This window comes from Homo sapiens, chromosome 16 (assembly GCF_000001405.40).
Source record: "Homo sapiens chromosome 16, GRCh38.p14 Primary Assembly".
NCBI lineage: Eukaryota > Metazoa > Chordata > Mammalia > Primates > Hominidae > Homo > Homo sapiens.
Genome location: NC_000016.10, coordinates 14,970,025 through 14,992,211, shown reverse-complemented (window position 1 = coordinate 14,992,211; position 22,187 = coordinate 14,970,025). Strand labels below are relative to the sequence as shown.

At 47.4% G+C, this 22,187-nt stretch overlaps 1 protein-coding gene and 1 pseudogene across 23 annotated transcripts in view, besides 2 other annotated features; one reads left to right on the top strand and one right to left on the bottom strand.

The window, feature by feature from the left end:
- Positions 1-17,477, bottom strand: part of PDXDC1 (pyridoxal dependent decarboxylase domain containing 1) — a 178,484-nt gene extending 161,007 nt beyond the window's left edge. For 9 of the 23 annotated variants that reach the window (NM_001285449.2, NM_001324021.2, NM_001324020.2 and 6 more), the window contains exon 1: positions 16,992-17,186. In NM_001285449.2, the coding sequence (NP_001272378.1) occupies positions 16,992-17,012 (21 nt within the window). In that variant the 5' untranslated portion in view covers positions 17,013-17,186. Of the gene's footprint in view, positions 1-7,553; positions 7,694-11,238; positions 11,330-16,579; positions 17,187-17,238 lie in introns of those variants that run through there. The other 14 variants (XM_024450194.2, XM_017023065.2, XM_047433790.1 and 11 more) reach the window with 7 other exon arrangements.
- Positions 1,886-4,203, top strand: LOC728138 (KIAA2013 pseudogene; annotated as a pseudogene).
- Positions 17,105-17,868: an enhancer, noted in NCBI's record as "H3K27ac hESC enhancer chr16:15068201-15068964 (GRCh37/hg19 assembly coordinates)". NCBI's record gives its function as "activates a minimal SCP1, AML or CMV promoter by ChIP-STARR-seq in naive and primed H9 embryonic stem cells {active_cell/tissue: H9 hESC(naive and primed)}" and the evidence as "EXISTENCE:reporter gene assay evidence [ECO:0000049][PMID:30033119]".
- Positions 18,026-18,320: a silencer, noted in NCBI's record as "tiled region #4661; HepG2 Repressive non-DNase unmatched - State 4:PromP, and K562 Repressive DNase matched - State 5:Enh". NCBI's record gives its function as "represses a minimal TATA promoter and a strong SV40 promoter by Sharpr-MPRA in HepG2 and K562 cells {active_cell/tissue: HepG2 | K562}" and the evidence as "EXISTENCE:reporter gene assay evidence [ECO:0000049][PMID:27701403]".

Here is a 22,187-nt window from a genome sequence, read left to right as displayed (position 1 = left end):
AAAAATCTAGACTTGTTGCTTGACAATGTTGGTTGTATTTATGGGGACAATGGGACAGAATGCTTGCAGTTGTTGCGGCTGCCATTTATCCTCATGATTCCTTACACCCTTTACTGTGAATTGTTTTATAGATGTGCTTTCCAGTATAAATGTGCTCTCCAATTAGATTACAAGCTTCTTGAAGGCAAGGATTCAGACTCCTACTAATTTTGACTTCTCTTTAGACCACGGGTCTAAAGTTGGCTCAATTCTCCAATTGTCATATTAACCTGAAAATCCCTTAGGAAGGCATGCCAGAGTGGATATCAACATACTGTTCTCTAAATGCAACACAGCTATTTCTTTCAATAGAATTATAATGAATATTTCTGTTAAGAATAGATAAAATACGCCAGGTGTGGTGGCTCATGCCTGTAATCCCAGCACTTTTGAGAGGTCAAGGAAGGAGGATCAGTTGAGTCCGGGAGTTTGAGATGAGCCTGGGCAACATGGCAAAACCTCGTCTCTACAAAAAATACAAAAAAAGTAAGCCGGGCATGGTAGTGCATGCCTCTGGTCTCAGCTACTCAGGAGGCTGAGGCAAGAGGATTGCTTGAGCCCAGGAGGTCAAGGCTACAGTGAGACAAGATTGTGCCACTGCCTGGGTGACAGAGCAACAACCTGTCACCAAAAAAAAAAAAAAAAATAGACAAAATACAGCTTAGGCAATATGACAAAACCCCATATCTGCAAAAAGTACAAAAATCAGCCAGGTGTGGTGGTGCACGCCTGTAGTCCCAACTACTTGGGAGGTTTAGGTGGGATGATCACTTGAGCCTGGGAGGTTGAGGCTCTGGTGGTGAGCCATGATCACACCACTGCACTCCAGCCTGGTCAACAGAGAACCTGTCTCGACAACAACAAATACACACACACACACACACACACACACACACACACACACATATCTATATACATATATAATACATATATATACACACAAAATAGTTTAGAAGCCACATTGTGTGAACATGCATTTATAAACACTAAAATCCCGTGTAATGACAAGATGCTTAAACTGAAAGGCAGGAGGGAAATGCAGATTCACAATCCCCAGGTGAATCTCTGACTCTGGAGTGTACATGCAGTTTACGTAAACGTAAACTGGCTTATGTTTAAATTGTTCTTGCTGGCCGGGCGCAGTGGCTCACGACTATAATCCCAGCACGTTGGGAGGCCGAGGTTGACGGATCACCTGAGGCCCAGGAGTTCGAGACCAGCTTGGCTAACACGGCAAAATCCCGTCTCTACTAAAAATACAAAAATTAGCTGGGCATGGTCACGTATGCCTGTAGTCCTAGGTACTCGGAAGGCTGAGGCAGGAGAATCGCTTGAACCCAGGAGGCGGAGGCTGCAGCGAGCTGAAATTGCGACACTGCACTTCAGCCTTGGCGCCAGACCAAGATTGTCTCAAAAAATTAAATAAAAATAAATAAATCATTCTTGCTCTTCAGGGAGTAAGCCCAGGGGGGAGTGGGTGGGTAGGAAAAGCAGCACTGATAGTTAAGTTTGGGTGAATAAATGTGAACAATGACTCCAATGCCATAGACCCTCACGTGTTTGTTGCATTAATTGGATAATTCAAAATATAAAGTATTATCCAGTTTCAGGATAATATTAAGATCTAAACCAATGAATGCTCTATGAAAAGTTGTAGATTAACTGATCCCTTAAAACTAAAAACAGCGTCTTCATAAGCTTCTACTGGGGGCAGCTACCACTTTCTTCATCACATTTCTTATCCTCAATAGCTGTGGGCAATGCCAAAATAGCTGTATGATCAACATTAATAAACAACACCAGGGCAACAGCCAGACACAAACCTAAATGAAGAATTAAATTGTAGGAGAAGGAGGAGGAAGCAGCGATGGCGGCTGCTGCGGCGGTTGCGGCGGGGGCCGGGGTGGGCGCCGCGGTCTGGGCCGGGCAGTGAGGCACGGGCGGCCGGGCCGGTGGGCTGGGCGGCGGGCCCGGCGGCCGCCCTCGCGCCCTTGCCCGCGCCTGGCGGCCCGATGTGGCTACAGCAGGGGCTCAAGGGGCTGCCGGGACTGCTGTCGAGCAGCTGGGCCCGCCGCCTCCTCTGCCTGCTTGGCCTCCTACTGCTGCTTCTGTGGTTTGGGGGGTCCGGCGCGCAGCGGGCGGCGGGCGGCCTGCACCTGCTTCCCTGGTCCTGGGGTGAGCCGGGCGCCACCGAGCCGTCTGCCTGCCTGGAGGCGGCCACCCGCGCCTGGCGCGGCCTGCGGGAGCGCGGCGAGGCGGTACCGCTGGGCCCTGGAGTGCCGGCCCTGGTGGCCAACGGCTTCCTGGCCCTGGACGTGGCTGCCAATCGGCTGTGGGTGACTCCCGGGGAGCGGGAGCCCGCCGTGGCGCCGGACTTTGTGCCCTTCGTGCAGCTGCGCCCGCTGAGCGCGCTGGCTGAAGCTGGAGAGGCGGTGCTGCTGCTGCGGGAGGGGCTGCTGCGCCGCGTGCGTTGCCTGCAGCTGGGGTCCCCAGGTCCTGGCCCCGTGGCCGCCGGCCCCGGGCCCGCCTCCGTCTCTGGCCTTGCCGCGGGGTCCGGCCGCGACTGCGTGCTGCTGCAAGAGGGCTTTCTGGCGCACAGGGGCCGACCCCACGTCTACCTGCAGCGCATCCAGCTCAACAACCCCACGGAGCGCGTGACCGCGCTGCAGACTGTGGGGCCCACTGCCGGCCCAGCCCCCAAGGCCTTCACCAGTACCCTGGAGAAGGTCGGAGACCATCAGTTCCTCCTCTACTCAGGCCGGTCCCCGCCTACGCCCACTGGGTTGGTGCACCTGGTGGTGGTGGCCGCCAAGAAGCTGGTGAACCGCCTCCAAGTGGCTCCCAAGACGCAGCTGGATGAGACGGTGCTGTGGGTGGTGCACGTCTCTGGCCCCATTATCCCCCAGGTGCCCAAAAGCAAAGCAGCCAAGGAGCTCAAGGCGCTGCAGGACTTGGCACGGAAGGAAATGCTGGAGCTCTTGGAGATGCCAGCGGCGGAGCTGCTTCAAGACCACCAGCTCCTCTGGGCTCAGCTCTTCAGCCCAGGAGTGGAAATGAAGATCACTGACACCCACAGGCCGTCTGGCCTCACCGTGAACCTGACGCTCTATTACATGCTCTCCTGCTCGCCAGCCCCGCTGCTCAGCCCCTCCCTGAGCCACAGGGAGCGAGACCAGATGGAGTCGACGCTCAACTATGAAGATCACCGCTTCAGCGGGCACGCCACCATGCACGCCGAGAACCTGTGGCCGGGGCTGCTGTCCTCCGTCCAGCAGATCCTGCAGCTCTCTGACCTGTGGAGGCTGACCCTCCAGAAGAGTGGCTGCAAGGGGCTGGTGAAGGTGGGTGCCCCAGGCATCCTGCAGGGCATGGTGCTCAGCTTCGGGGGGCTGCAGTTCACAGAGAACCACCTCCAGTTCCAGGCCGACCCCGACGTGCTGCAGAACAGCTATGCATTGCATGGCATCCGCTACAAGAACGACCATATCAACCTGGCCGTGCTGGCGGATGCCGAGGGCAAGCCCTACCTACACGAGTCCGTGGAGTCCCGTGGCCAGCCTGTCAAGATCTATGCCTGCAAGGCAGGCTGCCTGGACGAGCCAGTGGAGCTGACCTCGGCGCCCACGGGCCACACCTTCTCGGTCATGGTGACACAGCCCATCACGCCACTGCTCTACATCTCCACCGACCTCACACACCTGCAGGACCTGCGGCACACGCTGCACCTCAAGGCCATCCTGGCCCATGATGAGCACATGGCTCAGCAGGACCCCGGGCTGCCCTTCCTCTTCTGGTTCAGCTTGGCCTCCCTCATCACCCTCTTCCACCTCTTCCTCTTCAAGCTCATCTACAACGAGTACTGTGGGCCTGGAGCCAAGCCCCTCTGCAGGAGTAAGGAAGATCCCAGTGTCTGAGTGAACTAACAGTCCTGCTTTCAGCCACCATTTGCACAAGACACCCAGCACTGAAAGTCCCACTGCCAGGAGCAAGGGATCCTTTGGAAGCACCCGCCCTTTGTGCCTTGTTGGGGGAAACCAGTGACGCAGAAGCGAGTGTGGATACACCAGAGTTTGCATTGGAAGGAATGAGTGTCACGTGGGGAGGGAAGGGGCCAGTGGACCTTTTGTAAGCTTTCCACTCAATAAAATGAACCTGTATGGCAAAAAAAAAAAAAAAAAAAGAATTGTATAAAGATGTATAAAGATGTCTATTAGTTAGTACATAGGAAAATGTTTGATAATGTTGGCAGAAAAAAAAAACAGGCCAGGCGCAGTGGCTCACACCTGTAATCCCAGCACTTTGGGAGACCAAGGTTGGTGGATCACCTGAGGCCAGGTGCTTGAGACCAGCCTGGCCAACATAGCAAAACCCCGTCTCTACTAAAAATACAGAAATTAGCCAGGCGTGGTGGGGGGTGCCTGTAATCCCAGCTATTCGGGAGACTGAGGCAGGAGAACTGCTTGAACCTGGGAGGCGGAGGCTGCAGTGAGCAGAGATGGTGCCACTGCACTCCAGCCTAGGCGACAGCAAAATTCCATCTCAAAAAACAAAAAAACAAAGGAAAAACAGTATTCTATGTCAAGTTCCTCGGAAGAATGTCAAATAATTTCTGAATCCCTTAGCACTGAGTGCAGGGTCAGACACAGAGTAAATATTCAATCAGATTTATGATCCTTATAATTACTAATACTTACTGGGTTGCTTACTATATTCCAGGCATTGTGCTAATAATTAACGCCTCTACACACATTACTTCCTCACAAGCCCCAAATCATAGTACATTTTAGAGCCAGAATTTAAAACTAAGTAAAATTCTAGGACCAGTGCTCTTAACCACTGGGCAATACTGCTTCTCAATTTTATCAAGTAAGTAAATGAAGCAACTCAACACTTTAAAAAAGCTTGTACTCAAAAATCATATTTAGAACTAAGGTTTAATTTTAAAGATTATCCTTGCTTGATTAATGTTTTCACCTGGGAAGAAAGTGACACTTTACAGGGAAAATTTCTACTTTACAACAGTCTCAACCAGATGGCCGTAAACTCATCATCCAGATCAGGGCATTTTTTTTTTTTCCTTTTTCCACCAACTCTTAAACCCAAGCATTTTTAAGAGTGAAAGCATGGCCACGCATGGTGGCTCACACCTGTAAAACCAGCACTTTGGGAGGCCAAAGCAGGGCAGATCACCCAATGTCAAGAGTTTGAGACCAGCCTGGCCAACATGGTGAAACCCCGTCTCTACTAAAAATACAAATATTAGCTGGACGTGGCGGTGTGCGCCTGTAGTCCCAGCTACTCAGGAGGCTGAGGCACAAGAATCACTCGAACCTGGGAGGCGGAGCTTGCAGTTAGCCAAGAACGCGCCACTGCACTCTAGCCTGGGCAGCAGAGCAAGACTCTGTCTCAAACAAAAATCCCAAAACCAAAAAAAGTGCAACAAAGCATTTACAGAGTGGGTATATCTACATGCACATTTTCTGATAGATACTAATTGCTGAGAATTTAGACACAGTTTTACCTCTCTACAAATTCATAAATTATATTTCAAGTACAGTTAATTCTGTTGTATAAATGACGTGGGTTCAATATTTTTGCTACAATTTTATCTAACACAGTTGCATGATAGGTATGATTTAATTCTCCTTTCCTAAGAAGAGCCATTCAATTGCATGCTCACTGTCACAGAACTGAGACTTTTTTCGAGATGCAGTCTCATTCTGTCTCCCAGGCTGGAGTGCAGTGGCTTGATCTCGGCTCACTGCAACCTCCGCCTCCCGGGTTCAAGTGATTCTGCTGCCTCAGCCTCCTGAGTAGCTGGGATTCCAGGTGCCCGCCATCACGCCCAGCTAATTTTTTTGTATTTTTAGTAGAGACGGGATCTTACCATGTTGGCCGGGTCAAACTCCTGCCCTCAGATAATCTGCCTGCCTTGGCCTCCCAAAGTGCTGGGATTACAGGCGTGAGCCTCTGCACCCAGCCAGAACTGAGACTTTAATAGTTAGCTCATTTTATAAAACAAGCCCTACTATTCATACCTTCGTGAGCATTTTTTACAAACTTTTTTTTTTTTTGAGACATGACCTCGCTCTATTGTCCAGGCTGTCACAGTGGCGTGATCATAGCTGGCTGCAGCCTTGAGTTCCTGGGCTCAAGTGATCCTCTAACCTCAGCCCCCTGAGCAGACATGGCTACAGGCACATGCCACCACACTTAGCTAATTTTTAAAAATTTTTTGGAGAGACATGGTCCTACTATGTCACCCAGGCTGATCTCAAACTCCTGGCTTCACGAGCAATCCTCCTGCCTTGGCCTCCCAAAGTGCTGAGATTAGAAATGTGGGCCACAGTGCCTGGCCAAGAATCGTTTTTATGCTAGGCGATTTTTATCAGACAGTATGGGATATTAAAATACTCCCTCACTACCAGAAGAAATATTACATATGTAATGTTAAAATTGCTTAAAAGTTCTGACAATTTAAATGTTGGAGGAAAAGTCAAGAATCAAATGCAAGGTAAGATGGTAAAGGAGGTCAAGGAGCAACTCTCAACTTTTCAAAAAAGCTAACGGAAAATTATAAATTGGCAAGGCCAGGCGCGGTGGCTCACACCTGTAATCCCAGCACTTTGGGAGGCCGAGGCAGGTGGATCACGAGGTCAGATGGAGACCATCCTGGCTAACACAGTAGAAACCCCGTCTCTACTAGAAATACAAAAAATTAGCCAGGTGTGCTGGCGGGCGCCTGTAGTCCCAGCTACTAGGGAGGCTGAGGCAGGAGAATGGCGTGAACCCGGGAGGCGGAGCTTGCAGTAAGCCGAGATTGTGCCACTGCACTCCAGCCTGGGCGACAGACCAAGACTCCGTCTCAAAAAAAAAAAAAAAAAAAAAAAAGTTGTTTATCATATCTTCCAAAACTGGTAACTACAATAGAAATAAAAGGTGTCTTTAGAGCCTAAGATTTGGGAATTAATGAACTAGTCACTTTAAAAATTTTTTCATCTTAGGCAGTGGCTCACACCTGTAATCCCAGCACTTTGGGAGGCCGGGGTGGGCAGATCACGAAGTCAGGAGTTCGAGACCAGCCTGGCCAAGATGGTAAAACCCCATCCATCTCTACTAAAAATACAAAAACTAGTCGTGTGCAATGGCGGGCACCTGTAATCCCAGCTACTCAGGAAGCTGAGGCAGGAGAATCGCTTGAACCCAGGAGGTAGAGGTTGCAGTGAGCCAAGAATGCACCACTGCACTCCAGCCTAGGTGACAGAGCAAGACTCTGTTTCAGGGGAAAAAAAAAAATTTCATCTTTTGAAAACACACGAATCAACACTTTTCCTCAGTTAAACCAGTTCACCAAAGTGTGAATTTAAAAAATTATACATTTGGCTGGCAGCGGTGGCTCATGCCTGTAATTCTGGCACTTTGGGAGGCAGAGGCGGGCGGATCACGATAGGAGTTTGAGACCAGCCTGTCCAACATGGTGAAATCTCGTCTCTACTAAAGATACAAAAAATTACCTGGGCGTGGTGGTGTGCCTGTAACCCCAGCTACTCAGGAGGCTGAGGCAGGAGAATCGTTTGAACCCGGGAGGCGGAGGTTGCAGTGAACCGAGATGGCGCCATTGCACTCCAGCCTGGGCGACAGGGTGAGAGTCCGTCTCAGAAAAAAAAAAAAAAAAAATATATATATATATATATATGTATACACACACACACACACACTCTCTCTCTCTCTCTCTCTCACTTTTATGTGATTTGGAAAAAAAAAAAAAAACCCACACAAACACACACCTCAAATCCCAGAATTTAGAGACATTACAGTTGAGGACAAATCTAAGTTAAAAAAAAAAAAAAAAAAAAAGGCGGGGGTGCAGGGATGGGATGGGTGGGTAAAGAGGTCTAGAGTGACAGAAAGCAGGGCAGGGATCCACTGCAAAGGGACATAGGGACATTTTCAGGGAGACAGAAATGCTCTGTACCTTTTTTGGGGTGGGTGGGTAGGGGACTTATTTTCTGAGACAGGGTCTCACTCTGTCACCCAGGCCAAGTGCAGCGGCACTATCGTGGCTCCCTGCAGCCTCACCCTCCTGGGCTCAAGCGATCCTCTCACCTCAGCCTCCCAAGTAGCTGGGACTACAGGTGCATGCCACCAAGCCTGGCTAAGTTTTTATTTTTTATAGAGATAGGAGTCTCACTGTGTTGCCCTGGCTGCCCTCAAACTCCTGGGCTCAAGAGATCCTCCTTCCTTGGCCTCCCAAAGTGTTGAAATTACAGGTGTGAGCCACTGCACCAGGTCAATGCTTTGTATCTTGATCATGCTGGTGGTAATATCACTATATACAACTTCCAAAACACAAACTATATAATTAAAATGGGTCTATTTGTTGTAAGTAAACGGTTCCTCAATTTTTCATAAAGGGGGAGTAAATTGATGTAAAGTAGATTTAAAAGAAAATACTAAGCAAATAATAGTATAGGTGGTACAGTGATGTGGCCAAATTCACAGATGGTACATGAATAACTGACATGAATAACTGCTGTTTAAGACATACAGAGCTAAGCCTTCAAAGAGAAGGCTTTTTTTTTTTTTTTTTTTTTTTTTTTGAGACGGAGTCTTGCTCTGTCGCCTAGGCTGGAGTACAGTGGCATGATCTCGGCTCACTGCAACCTCCGCCTCCCGGGTTCAAGCGATTCTCCTGCCTCAGCCTCCCAATTAGCTGGGACCACAGGCACATGCCACGACACCCGGCTAGTTTTTTTGTATTTTTAGTAGAGACGGGGTTTCACCATGTTAGCCATGATGGCCTCGATCTCCTGACCTCATGATCTGCCCGCCTCGGCCTCCCAAAGTGATGAGATTACAGGCATGAGCCACCATACCCGGCCAAGAGAAGGCTTTTAAGAGAAGCAGCCTCTATAACAAAGAAAGTCTAAAATTTATTTTTAAAAGTATATTAATTGTAACATTCATCAATGCTAGAAGTATATAATACTTTCGTTTCAACAAAGTTTTTTTTTCAGGAGAGGAATGTTCTTATTTGGGGGACTTTTAGGACTTATTTCAGAGGCCTCTTAGGGCTAACTAAAGAGAAACCAGCTGCTCATATTAGAAGACCTTGGAGTTATGAGATGCTAGTTTATACCATATGCATTAGACATAAAAAAAATCACTACCTACCTTCGGCTGAGATAAAAAGCAAGAGGTAAAGCTCCAGACAGCTGTTCCTAACTTAACTACTCTTGCCTCCCACAGCTTTCTGAACAAGGTAAATCCTGAATAGTGATCATCATTCAACCTTCATCTCTGCAAAAAGCATTTCTTTTCCTCCCAGGCGAAAACAAACAGTGCCTGCTGTCTAGCACTAGTTAAACAAGTTCCCCAAACACCACACACGTCTATTATAATACATACCACTGAGAAGCCACAGCAAGAACATAATGTTCCTTATGGGCCAAGGATGAGAGAAGAGGACAGGAATCCTCCAAGCTGATACAGTGACTTGTAAACCTGGTTTATCTTATTGGAGTCTCAGTTTCTACATTTGTAAGTATTTTTGCCTGATTCAACAGTACAGTATTTAAGAACCAGAACTTTTGTCTCCTCCCATCTTCTTTTTTTTTTGAGATGGAGTCTCACTCTGTTGCAGTGGCACAATCTCCTGAGTAGCTGGGACTACAGGCGTGAGCCACCACACCTGGCTAATTTTTGTATTTTTAGTAGAGATGGGGTTTCACCACGTGGGCCAGGCTGGTCTCGAACTCCTGACCTCAGGTGATCCACCCACCTCGGCCTCCCAAAGTGCTGGGAGTACAGGCATGAGCCACCATGCTCAGCCGTCTCCTCTCATCTTCTAAGAACTGGATATTGTCATTTGAAAGTCTTATTTTTAACCATCATGGTCTCTACGCTTGAGTGTGTCTGTGAGAATATGAAGACATACTGTAATTACTGGCTCATTAAGATTAAGCATCATAATCTTCCTAGTTGAAAAGGGTTAGCCAAGTACTGTATAAGGTGTAACTATAAGTATTTAACCTTACAAATTCCTCAAGAAGATAGGCAGAAAATAGGAAAGAAAAGGGCAAAAATAGGCCGGGTGCAGTGGCCCACCTGAGGTACAGAGTTCAAGACCAGCCTGGCCAACATGATGAAACCCTGTCTCTACTAAAAATACAAAAAATTAGCTGGGCGCGGTGGTGGGCGCCTGTAATCCCAGCTACTCAGGAGGCTAAGACAGGAGAATTGCTTGAACCCAGAGGCAGAGGTTACAGTGAACCAAGATCGCACCACTGCAGTCCAGCCTGGGCAACAAGAGCAAAACTCCATCTCAAAAAAAAAAAAGAAACAAAAGAAAAGGACAAAAATACCCAACAGTGGAAAGGAGGCAGCAAAGTTAACTGCACAGATCACATCTCAGTCAGAGAGCAGTATGTGAAGGAGGGAAAAAGCCTCTAATCACTTGACTCAGATATACGTTGGAGATGCTAGAGATCCAACTCCGTGTTCCAAAAACCTGTGTTCCCAGAGACCACTACTGCAGTGTCAGTTCACACAGATCTTATAACACGAGTAAACACTTCCAGATAATGACACTGATGGAAAAATAGCATACAATAGGGAAGCTCTATTTCTAAAAACTTTACTGTTTACCTGGAATCACACCTTTATTCTGGAACAAAAAGAAAACTGCTAAACAGAAGCAGATACTGTTATAACTCTTCCTTAAGATAAGCTTTATAGGCAGTGTTTAACTAGTTTAACTAGTGCTAGACAGCAGGCACTGTTTGTTTTTGCCTGGGAGGAAAAGAAATGCTTTTAGCAGAGATGAAGGTTGAATGATTATCACCATTCAGGATTTACCTTGTTCAGGGATTGTTAGGGAGCGATCAAATCGGAAAGGTAAAGATGAAATGCTTTTCCTGTTTCTTGATTTTTATCTACCAGCAATAATATGAGGCACACTCGTAAAGTAAAGGTTTGCATTATATTTACAATTAAACTCTAGAAAAGCATAATTCTGAGCTAAATATTCTGCCTAAAGAATCTCTTTCACATAATCCTTCCTGGTCACTTGCTCCTTGCACTCACAATTTGTTTCTTAATTCCTATGCTTTTTATCCCTTTCTATACAAGGATTTGTCCAAAAAAAAGTATACTCCCTTACCAGAACGCAACCTCCTGCAGGGGCCACATCTTACTCACCTTGTGTCTCTGTCAGCACTCAGCATTGGGCTTTGACCACAGCTCACCTTCGATTAATAAAAATTATAAATCAAGGCCGGGTGCAGTGGCTTACATCTGTAATCCCAGCACTTTGGGAGGCCAAGGTGGGCAGATTACTTGAGGTCAGGAGTTGGAGACCAGCCTGGCCAACATGGCGAAACCCCGTCTCTATTAAAAATACAAAAATTGGCCAGGCGCGGTGGCTCATGCCTGTAATCCCAGAACTTTGGGAGGCTGAGGTGGAGGTCAGGAGATCGAGACCATCCTGGCTAACACTTGGTGAAACCACATCTCTACTAAAAATACAAAAAATTAGCTGGGTGTGGTGGTGGGCGCCTGTAGTCCCAGCTGAGGCAGAAGAATGGCGTGAACCTGGGAGGTGGAGCTTGCAGTGAGCCGAGACTGTGCCACTGCACTCCAGCCTAGGCCACAGGGCGAGACTCCATCTCAAAAAAATAAAAAATAAAAAAAACAAAAATTAGCCGGGCGTGGCACAAAAATAATCCCATCTACTCGGGAAGCTGAGGCAGGAGAATTGCTTGAACCCAGGGGGCAGAGGTTGCAGTGGGGCAGAGGTCGCATAGAGCTGAGATCGCACCACTGCACTCCAGCCTGGGTGACAGAGCAAGATTCCGTCTCAAAAAAAAAAAATTATAAATCAAAACAGGTTTCTGCTTTAGGTGACAACAGATGAAATCAAGCTCAACCAACTTCTACCTATAACTCATATAATCCTAGATATAGTGGAGCAAAGACGGAAATGGGACCATCAATAGCTCTGCCACTGACTTCCCCTGCAAAATTGAATAAATCAAGAATGAACAAAGCCATAAATATCTAGGATCAGGAACTTTGTACTATGGCCGAGTCCCATCAGTTTTCCCTGACAGCCAGTATTAGATAATCATTTACAGCCATAGCCACCATGCATCTGTATGCAAAACCCTCACATTGTAACATTGGAATTGGCTTTATATGAAAGCTACAATTACAGCCTCTCATCTCCTCTCATTCTATATAAAAGAGTGGGATCTACAAAGCCATACACGGAAACTGGTCATTTCAACCTTGCCTAACAGGGGTTCTTTTCTCATGCTTTTTAAGGAAGGAGCAGGAATAGAAATTCTCGGAGTCCTTATCAGTAAGTAATGATCAGGAATGTTCCATTGATGCTGCTATAAACCTCTAGCATAACAGCAAGGTGACAAAGAATTTTCTAAAATCAGTCCCAAATAGCAGGAAAGAAACACTTAGCTCAGGATGAGTTCAAGAACCAAAAATGGGCTGAGTTGTGCTGATTTAGGTCAGAAACAGGGTCAAAGTTGCCTCTTTCAGAGATGAGAATTAGATATAACAAGTAATTGGCTGGGCACAGTAGCTCATGCCTGTAACCCCAGCACTTTGGGAGGCCGAGGCGGGTGGATCACTTGAGGTCAGGAGCTTGAGACCAGCCTGGTCAATATGGTGAAATCCCATCCCTACTAAAAATACAAAAATTAGCCAGGTGTGGTGGTGGGTGCCTGTAATCCCAGCTACTTGAGAGGCTGAGGCAGGAGAATCGCTTGAACCCGGAAAGCAGAGGTTGCAGTGAGCAGAGACTGTGCCACTGCACTCTAGCCTGGGCGTCAGAGGGAGACTCCATCTCAAAAAAAAAACACGAATTGCCAGCTCTTAGCACTGTCCAGTGGAACCTTCTTTGCGATGGAAATGTTCCACATCTGTGCTGCCCAGTGTAGCAGACATCAGCCACATGTGGCTGCTGAGCACTTGAAATGTGGCTAGCATGACTGAGGAAATGAATTTTAAATTGTGTTTAATTTTAATCTCAATGTAAACTGCCAAATATGGCTAGTGGTGACCAAACCGGAACTGTAGCTCTAGATTCCCTAAATTAGGGACTTTCAATGACAGGCAATTCCCTCTACCCCTTGGGGGACAACTGCCCCCATCTTGAGACATTTCTTATTGTTACAACTGGGTGTAGGGAGTGCGACTAGCATCTACTGAGCAGAGGTCTGGGACACTGCTAAGCATGCTGCCATGCACAGGCCAGCCCCCATAACAGCAAATTATCTGACCCAAAATATCACTAGTGCTGACGCTGAGAAACTGCTTTAAGTTTGCTCAAGGACAGAATTAAAGTAAATGCAAACAAACTGCAGTATACCTTGCCTAAACATAATACCCAGGAAGAATGAGATCTTTTAACCAACAGAAAAAGGTCTGGGCTATTCTACAAGTTTAGAGTAGCAGGTTTTGGCCTGGCACGGTGGCTCACGCTTATAATCCCAGCACTTTGGGAGGCTAAGGCAAGAGGATGGCTTCAGCCCAGGAGGTTGGGACCAGCCTGGGCAATATAGTGAGACCTTGTCTCGAGAACAAAAAAATTGTTTTAATTAGCTCAGTGTGGGGGTGAGTGCCTGTAGTCCCAGCTACTCAGGAGGCTGAGGCGCGAGGATCACTTGAGCCCTGGAGACGGACGTTGCAGTGAGCCGAGATTGTACCACGGCTCTCCAGCCTGGGTGACAGAGAGAGATCCTGTCTCAAAAATAATAATAATATAACAGGTTTTTACTGGAAGGTGTGTTTAATAACTTAAAATCTTCATCATTATAGTGATTACTTCCTGTGGCATTTTCCTTATTGAATATTAACATAAGTACACACTGTGAGACTCTGCTACAGGGCCTTGTTCCTTATGCCTTGGACATACAGTGGGGGGCAGGGGCAAAGCCCCTACTCCTACTCTCCTAAGTTTGAATTTCCTTTGCCTCCTCAATTAACCCATCTGATTTATTGGGACATCACTGATCTCAGATACAAGAAAACTGATACTGTTGTGGAAGAAAAGCAAATCGTGACGAGAAAATGGCTCTGTTATCACAGGTCTGCACGTTTACATAACAGAAAAAGCAAGGGACAGAACTATATTTGGACCAAATCCAAATCACTGAGTGATTCTACTAAATGATGATCGCATACTACATTTTGTTTTTGTTTTTTCACATACATTTTAAAGTGAGAGATATTATTTTAAATTTTAGAGGGTGAGCATCAAATAACATTGTGGTTTCTGTAATCAGTATAAATTATGCAACAATCAGTTTAAATGGGATCATTTACAACTGCTCACATAGCTCTTGAGTTTATATTAACAATGTAGAATTTAACGCAGGATAGTCTATTCCTCAAAGAAACAGGAATAATGAACACAATTAAATGTTTCACTTTGACCCAGACTATTTTTCAGAACATAAAGTCATCAACATTCATATTACAGCAATGCTTTTTCTTTTCTGCCCAATTAGCACCAATATAAATCGTTTATTCCATCTAAGGCCCTGTATTACTTCAGGGAATATAAATCTAAGTCCCGGCCAGGTGCAGTGGCTTACGCCTGTAATCCCAGCACCGTGGGAGGCTGAGGCTGAAGGATCACAAGGTCAGGCGTTTGAGACCATCCTGACCAACGTGGTGAAACCCCATCTCTACTGGGAATACAAAAATTAGTCGGGTGTGGTGTCACACGCCTGTAGTCACAGCTGCTCGGGAGGCTGAGGCAGGAGAATCACTTGAATCCGGGAGGCGGAGGTTGCAGGGATCCGAGATCGCCTCACTGCACTCCAGCCTGGGCAAGAGACCGAGACTCCCTCTCAAAAAAAAAAAAAAAAAAAAAAAAAAAAGTAAGTCCCATAGTTCTGAAAAACTTACACTCAGAATTTTCACATTGACCTAAGGCAGAAACCTCCAGCCCACACGTTCTGAATTCCTAAAAGATCACTACAATTTTTGTGAATGCTCCAATATTAAACACACTGGAATTTCAGTCCCTCTTGCGATCCTCATTGAGAGAGTTTAAGATCTTTTATCATCAATTAACACTTAGGGAGCAACTACTGTAACCTACTGATCAAATGCCAGAAAAGTAATATTTAAAGCAGGATTCTGACCCACCCTGCAGATTTTCCTATAAAGGCTAATTATTCCTGGAGGAAAGATCACCCCAGTTCTTCAGGATTCCAATTACAATCACATGAAGCCCACCCACCTTCTTAGGAAATTGATAACACCACTTTGCATCGTTTTGTACTCAACTGCTGGTGTTATAAACATGATCTTGACCAGGATTTCTCAGCCTCAACACTGCTGACATTTTGGGCCAGAGAATTCTCCAGCGTGGGGGGCTGTCCTGTGCAACGTAGGATGTTTAGAGGCGTCCCTGGCCTCTACCCACTAGGTACCGGCAGCACCTCCCTGCCCCCATTGTGACAATCAAAACTATGTCCAGAGATAGCCAAATGTCTCCTGGGGAAATAAATTGCCCCCTGCTTTAAGAACCACTCATCTGGACAAACTCAAAGTACCAAAAGGTAGACACCCTGCTAATCAGACGACCGGAAAGACTTTATTCCCAGCCAGGAAAACACGTAACATTCACCCCAGAGATGGCACAAGAAAACCATATTATCTTTTTCTTGTCTTCCACCCAATTTATGCTAAGCAACCCAGGAGTAGGCTATACCACTGTGAGCACATGAAGACATCTGGCCCAACCTTTACAATTATTGCCTTCAACTCTCCAGTGACAAGTGAACAAAATCTACAGCAGCTGCTGCCTTGAAAAAAGACAAAATATATTATTCCTACCAGCTCAAAATTAAAATGTAGCCGTCTTAAAACACGAGCATTGCTCCTGAATGCCACATGCATGAAAAACCGGGTATGCACTGGATTGGACAAGCAGACTCCCAAGCTGGAACAGACAGAAGGGCTTTGAGGGAGGGCAGAATGTCAGGTACCGAAAGCAGGAATCCGTGAAGAAACCCAAACTGGTTTCCATTTACAAGCCCTAACACTGGGACAATGAGAATCCGTTTCACATGGTAGAGCAGTCAGCCTGGTACACCACGCTGCCGTTCCCCCAAGGGGAAACCAGAGGTAGGCTCTGTTACCAGTGGATTTCGAGTTGACTCGGGGATCCCTCCTCGCCACTGGAATGGGGGAGCCAGGAAGTTGTGGAGCAGCTGCGATCCCCAAAACTCAATTCGCAATCTACGCAACACCCACCCCTTTCTGGAACTCAGAGGTTCTCGCCCGGTGATCGCAGGCTCAGCATCAGAATCACCTGCGTGGGGCGGAGTGGGAGCGGGGCGGTGGCGGTTAAACACGCAGTTCCCGGTCCCGCCCCCAGAGGTTCTGACCCCGGGACTGAACCTCCGCATTTTACCAAAGGCCCCAGGTGATTCCCACTCAGGCTGAAGTTGGAAAACCACTGCTTTGGCAATTTTCATTCCTAACTCGGAGACCAAGAAAAACCTACAGGTTTGCAGCTGGCTCTGAAATAACTGCGGCTTCTTTCCGGGAGCATCTGGGGCCGCCAACGGAGAGCTCCCGGTCCTCCGAAAGGGCCAGCCGAGCTCAGGCCGGCCACTCGCGGAACCTCGGCAGGGCCCAAGGTCGGCCCCGCGGTCCCAGTCCTGGGCTCCGGGCCCGTCGCGGCCCCCACCGAACCCCGCCCAGCCTCTTCGGCCCACGGGGACCCAAGAGACACCCGGCCCCGTGACGCGCCCGGGCCCCAGCCGCCCTCCCGGCGAGGCCTCCTCAGGCAGGGCCTGTCAGCCCGCGTCCCCCTGTCCGGGTCACAATGGCAGCTCGCGACTGGGAAACAGTTGCCTCGGAAGCGGGAGCCCCGGGCCGCAGCACCGTCCCCATCGCCCCCTCCCGGCACGGACCTTCTCCAGGGACGCGTCCATGGCTGAGGCGGCCGGTGGTGGCCTGGCGGTCCCGGGCTCTACTTCCTCCTCCCGCGCCCCGCAGCTCCTTCCACGCTGGCAGCGCTGACGTCCCCCGCGCCCGCGGCCGGCGGGGCGGAGAAGAGGAGGAGCTGCCAGGCGGCGCCGCGGGCTGCCGAACCTGATGGTTGAGAGGCGGCGGGGCGGGGCCCCGTAGCGCTGGGCGGAGCCCTCTGGGATTCCGTACCTGGGCGCCACGCCGGCCCTCCCTAACGTGCGCAGGTGAAGGGGGGAGGATGCCCGGTGGATTGTTCACCAAACTCTTTCCAGCAGCCTGTTGCAATCATCAAGGTAGAAGTATAATAATCACAAAGTACTATTCATGGAGTGAAAGGCTGGAAATACTAGTGACGCACCTCACTTCCGGGCCCAGGCTTCCAAGTCTCCCGCCTCACCTCCCGCCGGCATCCCTCGAGAATGGAACAGGCCATTCGCCAAGGAGGCGGTGAGCGAGTGGGCAACCTTGCGCATGCGCAGGACTCGCAGCGTCCTCGGCGCCCGGGGACTTGGGGGTTTTGGGGTTGGGGGCTGCTTAGTGAACGCTGTTCAGAGAAGGCACTGATCTAAGCTGAGGTGTTGTCTCAGACCTTACCGCCGAATTCTAGACGGAAAAAATTGTTGTAACAACCGGTCCAGCCTCTTTCATGTCACAATTATCACTTGTCAGGTAATGGGTAGTAGTAATAATGATAATATTAATACATCAGCTGCTGTTCTTCCATTTTCCTATTTCAGCAGCTCTAGGAGATCATTATCCCCATTTCGCAGTGCCGATCTAGGTAGGATTCAGACCCAAGCCCCATGAGTCCACATACTGCTTCCACTCCTACTTTACTTTAAATGTTTTAAAAAGTTAATTTTTTATTAATTTTTTTATCTTGTTAACCGATGAACTGAAGAGAAAAAAAATTAAAATCTCATTTTAATAGAGAAGGTAGGGGTGTCTCACTATGTTACCCAAGCTGGCTTCAAACTCCTGGCCTCAGGCGATCTTCCCGTCTCAGCTTCCCCAAGTGCTGGGATTACAGGCATGAGCTACCACGCCCGGCCACTTTTGCAATTTTACTGCAATGTGTTTCGAACGAATGGGGAGGGCGTACATTTGCTTAGTAGATTCCTCCCACCTTAATGTGGGAAACTGATATAGACTACCACAGTGGCAATCAATGGAACACTTCACCTCTGCGATGACGCTACAACCACAATCTTACTCCTTTTCTCTCCTGTTTTATACTCTTCGTCCCGAAATCTGTGTAAACAGGGTCACATTTTCAGCGCAGTAACTCCATGTTTTGAGCTATCTACGTTGTATTTGGTAAATTGCCTGGTTATGTTAATAAAATTATTTTCTACCAAAAAACCCTTGTGTGCTGGTTTAGACTGTACTGTGGGGATTATTCTGACTCTCTAAAGAGCTTTCCAAACAGAAGGAAAGATAGATTTATGTCTTTCAAGAATTGAAGATTGAATGTACCCCTGCTTGAGCAAAACAAGTCACTTTTCCAACGTGTTATGAAATTTTTCAAACGTAGAAAAGTTTAAACAGTTGTACAGTGAACAACCATATACCCACTACCTAGATTCTACAGTTAATTTTCCCTATATTTGCTTTAATCACATATGCATCCATATATCCATCCATCGATATATGTTAGTACATTTCACCTCTGAGCACCTCAGCATGGGTATCATTCAAAACTAGTAAATTTTACTAAAGTCACCTCCAAGTTTCTGTGGATTACATTACAAAGTATAATAGATTCTACAAAACAAATACTAGAGAGAAAAGTTAACTTTACTGTTTTAAAAGTAGACTTTGAAAACCCAACATGAAAAAGTGGAAATAATCAACCGTATTATTTATTATATTTAGCCAAACATTTATTGACTGCCATCTTGGACAGTTGTGCTGGAAATAGTATGTAAAAGAATAAGAGGCTGGTTCAAGAGCAGCCTGGCCAACAGAGTGAAACTCCGTCTCTACTAAAAATACAAAAAATTAGCTGGGCGTGGTGGCAAACACCTGTAATCCCAGCTACCTGGGAGGCTGAGGCAGGGGAATCACTTGAACCCCGGGGGCAGAGGTTGCAGTGAGCCGAGATTGTGCCACTGCGCTCCAGCCTGGGCAATAAGACGAGACTCCATCTCAAAAAACAATAAAAATACAAATAAGAGGCTGGGCCGGGCGCGGTGGCTCACGCCTGTAATCCCAGCACTTTGGGAGGCCGAGGCGGGCGGATCACGAGGTCAGGAGATCGAGACCATCCTGGCTAACACGGTGAAACCCCGTGTCTACCAAAAATACAAAAAGAAATTAGCCGGGCATGGTGGCGGGCGCCTGTAGTCCCAGCTATTCTGGAGGCTGAGGCAGGAGAATGGCGTGAACCCGGGAGGCGGAGCTTGCAGTGAGCAGAGATCGCACCACTGCACTCCAGCCTGGGCGACAAAGCGAGACTCTGTCTCAAAAACAAAATATAATAAAAAATTTAAAAATTTAAAAAAGGCTGGGCGCGGTGGCTCATGCCTGTAATCCCAGCACTTTGAGAGGCCGAGGTGGGCGGATCACCTGAGGTCAGGAGTTGGAGAACAGCGTGGCCAACATGGTGAAACCCTCGTCTGTACTAAAAATAGAAAAATTAGTGGGTGTGGTGGTGTGCGCCTGTAATCCCAGCTACTCGGGAGGCTGAGGCAGCAGAATCGCTTCAACCTGGGAGGCGGAGGTTGCAGTGAGCCAAGATTGCACCACTGCATTCCAGCCTGGACGACAAGAGCAAGACTCCGTCTACACACACACACACACACACACACACACACACACACACACACACACACAAAACAAAGACAAGCTCTCTGCCCTGAAGAAAAACACTATTTTGGGTAGAAGTTTTTACTTTGGGATGCAGATGGAGGTCTCTGAAACTATACTCAACATTTTGTGTGTGAGTGAGTGCATTTTTCTGGGGAAAACATCCATTGTCTTCATTATATACTCAAGTCTGTGATTCCCCCATCCCCGAAAAAAAAAAAAAAAAGTTGAAACCATTTGGCTTGTGGATGCACAGATAGGAAAACTGATACATTATAATGCAACATTCTATGGACTAGTGAAGAGAGATAAGCAGAATATTGTACAGTTTGGAGCATGAAGCCATCAGTTGTGGGGAGGTTTAATCTCTACTGACATATGGCTTTATGTGCTGCTAACAGACCTGTCTTTTTCTTTCTTTTTCTTTTTCCAGACGAGTCTCACTCTGTTGTCCAGGCTGAAGTGTAACGGCGCAGTCTTGGCTCACTGCAACCTCTGCCTCCCCGGTTCAAGTGATTCTGCTGCCTCAGCCTCCCGGAGTAGCTTCGACTGGAGGCGTGCGCCATCGCACACACTGTATTTTTAGTAGAGACAGGGTCTTACCATGTTGGCCAGGCTGGTCTCAAACTCCCAACCTCAAGTGATCCTCCTGCCTCGGCCTCCCAAAGTGTTTGGATTACAGGCCTGAGCCACCGAGCCTGGCCTCAAACACTTCTCTTTTTTCCTTTTTTTTGAGATGGAGTCTCGTTCTGTCGCCAGGCTGGAGTGCAGTGGCACCATCTCTGCTCACTGCAAGCTCCGCCTCCCGGGTTCAAGCAATTCTCCTGCCTCAGCCTCCTGAGTAGCTGGGATTACAGGTGCGTGCCACCAAGCCTGGCTAATTTTTGTATTTTTAGTAGAGACGGGGTTTCACTAGTTGGACAGGCTAGTCTCCAACTCCTGATCTCAGGTGGTCCACCCACCTCGGCCTCCCAAAGTGCTGGGATTACAGGCGTGAGACACCAGGCCCAGCCTCAACTGTAGACTTTTAACTCAAAGGTACAAAAATTGGATTATGTCTGGGCCAGTTTTTTCCCTTGTCGATGGTATAGCCCATTGGTTAGAGTTCAGACTGTGGCTACAAGTAGAACTGGATTCTTTTTTTTTTTTTTTTTTAAGCTGTATAAGTGAAAACTACTTGGGCAAGTTACTTAACCTCTTGGTATATTAGTTTCCTCATCTGTAAAATTCTGGTTATGCTTGCCTTTTAGTGTTTGTTAAACATTCTTATGCTCAAAAAACAAGCAAATAAAAACTCCTTATCTTCATCCACATCCCCTTCTGGTTACACCTAATGGTCTCAATTTTCTCATCACACAAGCACCACCAACTCATCTGAATCTAGCTTCGGCCTTGTTCCCTCCACCCAAACCAGTGTCACTAAAACCATCTCAGTCCATCACACCTGACCTCTCAGCAGCCCTAGAACCAGATGATCACTTTCTTCTTGAAACTGACTTTCCATGCTTCCCACAATATCAAATTCTCCGGATCGTCACCTTCCCTTTCTGCCTGTTCCTTCTCAATGTCTTTTGGAGTTTCCTCCTCCTCCACCCAATGTTTCATTGTTGGATTTCCTCAGCACTCAGCTGGCAAGCCTTTTTTTTTTTTTTTTTTTTTTTGAGACAGAGTCTCGCTGACTCACTGCAACCTCCACCTCCCAGGTTCAAGCGATTTTCCTGCCTCAGACTCCTGAGTAGCTGGGATTACAGGCACGTGCCACCATGCCCAGCTAATTTTTTATTTTTAGTAGAAACGGGGTTTCATCATATTGGTCAGGCTGGTCTGAAACTCCTGACCTTAGGTGATCTACCCACCTCAGCCTCCCAAAGTGCTGGGATTACAGGCGTGAGCCACTGTGCCCAGCCTGGAAAGTCCTTTTGATTTCTTCTTCTACATAATTTCATCCTCCATTATTTCAATTAACATCTATATCAAACTGAGAGTAGTTCATCAGTGGGTTGTGATATCAACCATTGGGTCATGAGTAGCAATTTTTTAAAAAATGAAATAGGATGCAAAACATCAGAGCATATCACGTGGATTAAGGATAATTGGGCAGTAACCCAAATGTCCATCAACAGACAAACAGGTAAACAACTTGTGGCCTATCCCTACAATGGAATGGAGTACTGTACTGCAAGTAAAGGGAGTACATTATTGATCCATGGGACACCACAGATTAGGAGTTGGCAGACTTTTTCTGTAAAGGGCCTGGTTGTAAATATTTCAGGCTTTGCAAGCTGTAGTTTAGGTTCTTGCGATCTCGGTCTCAAGTATTTGATTCTGTA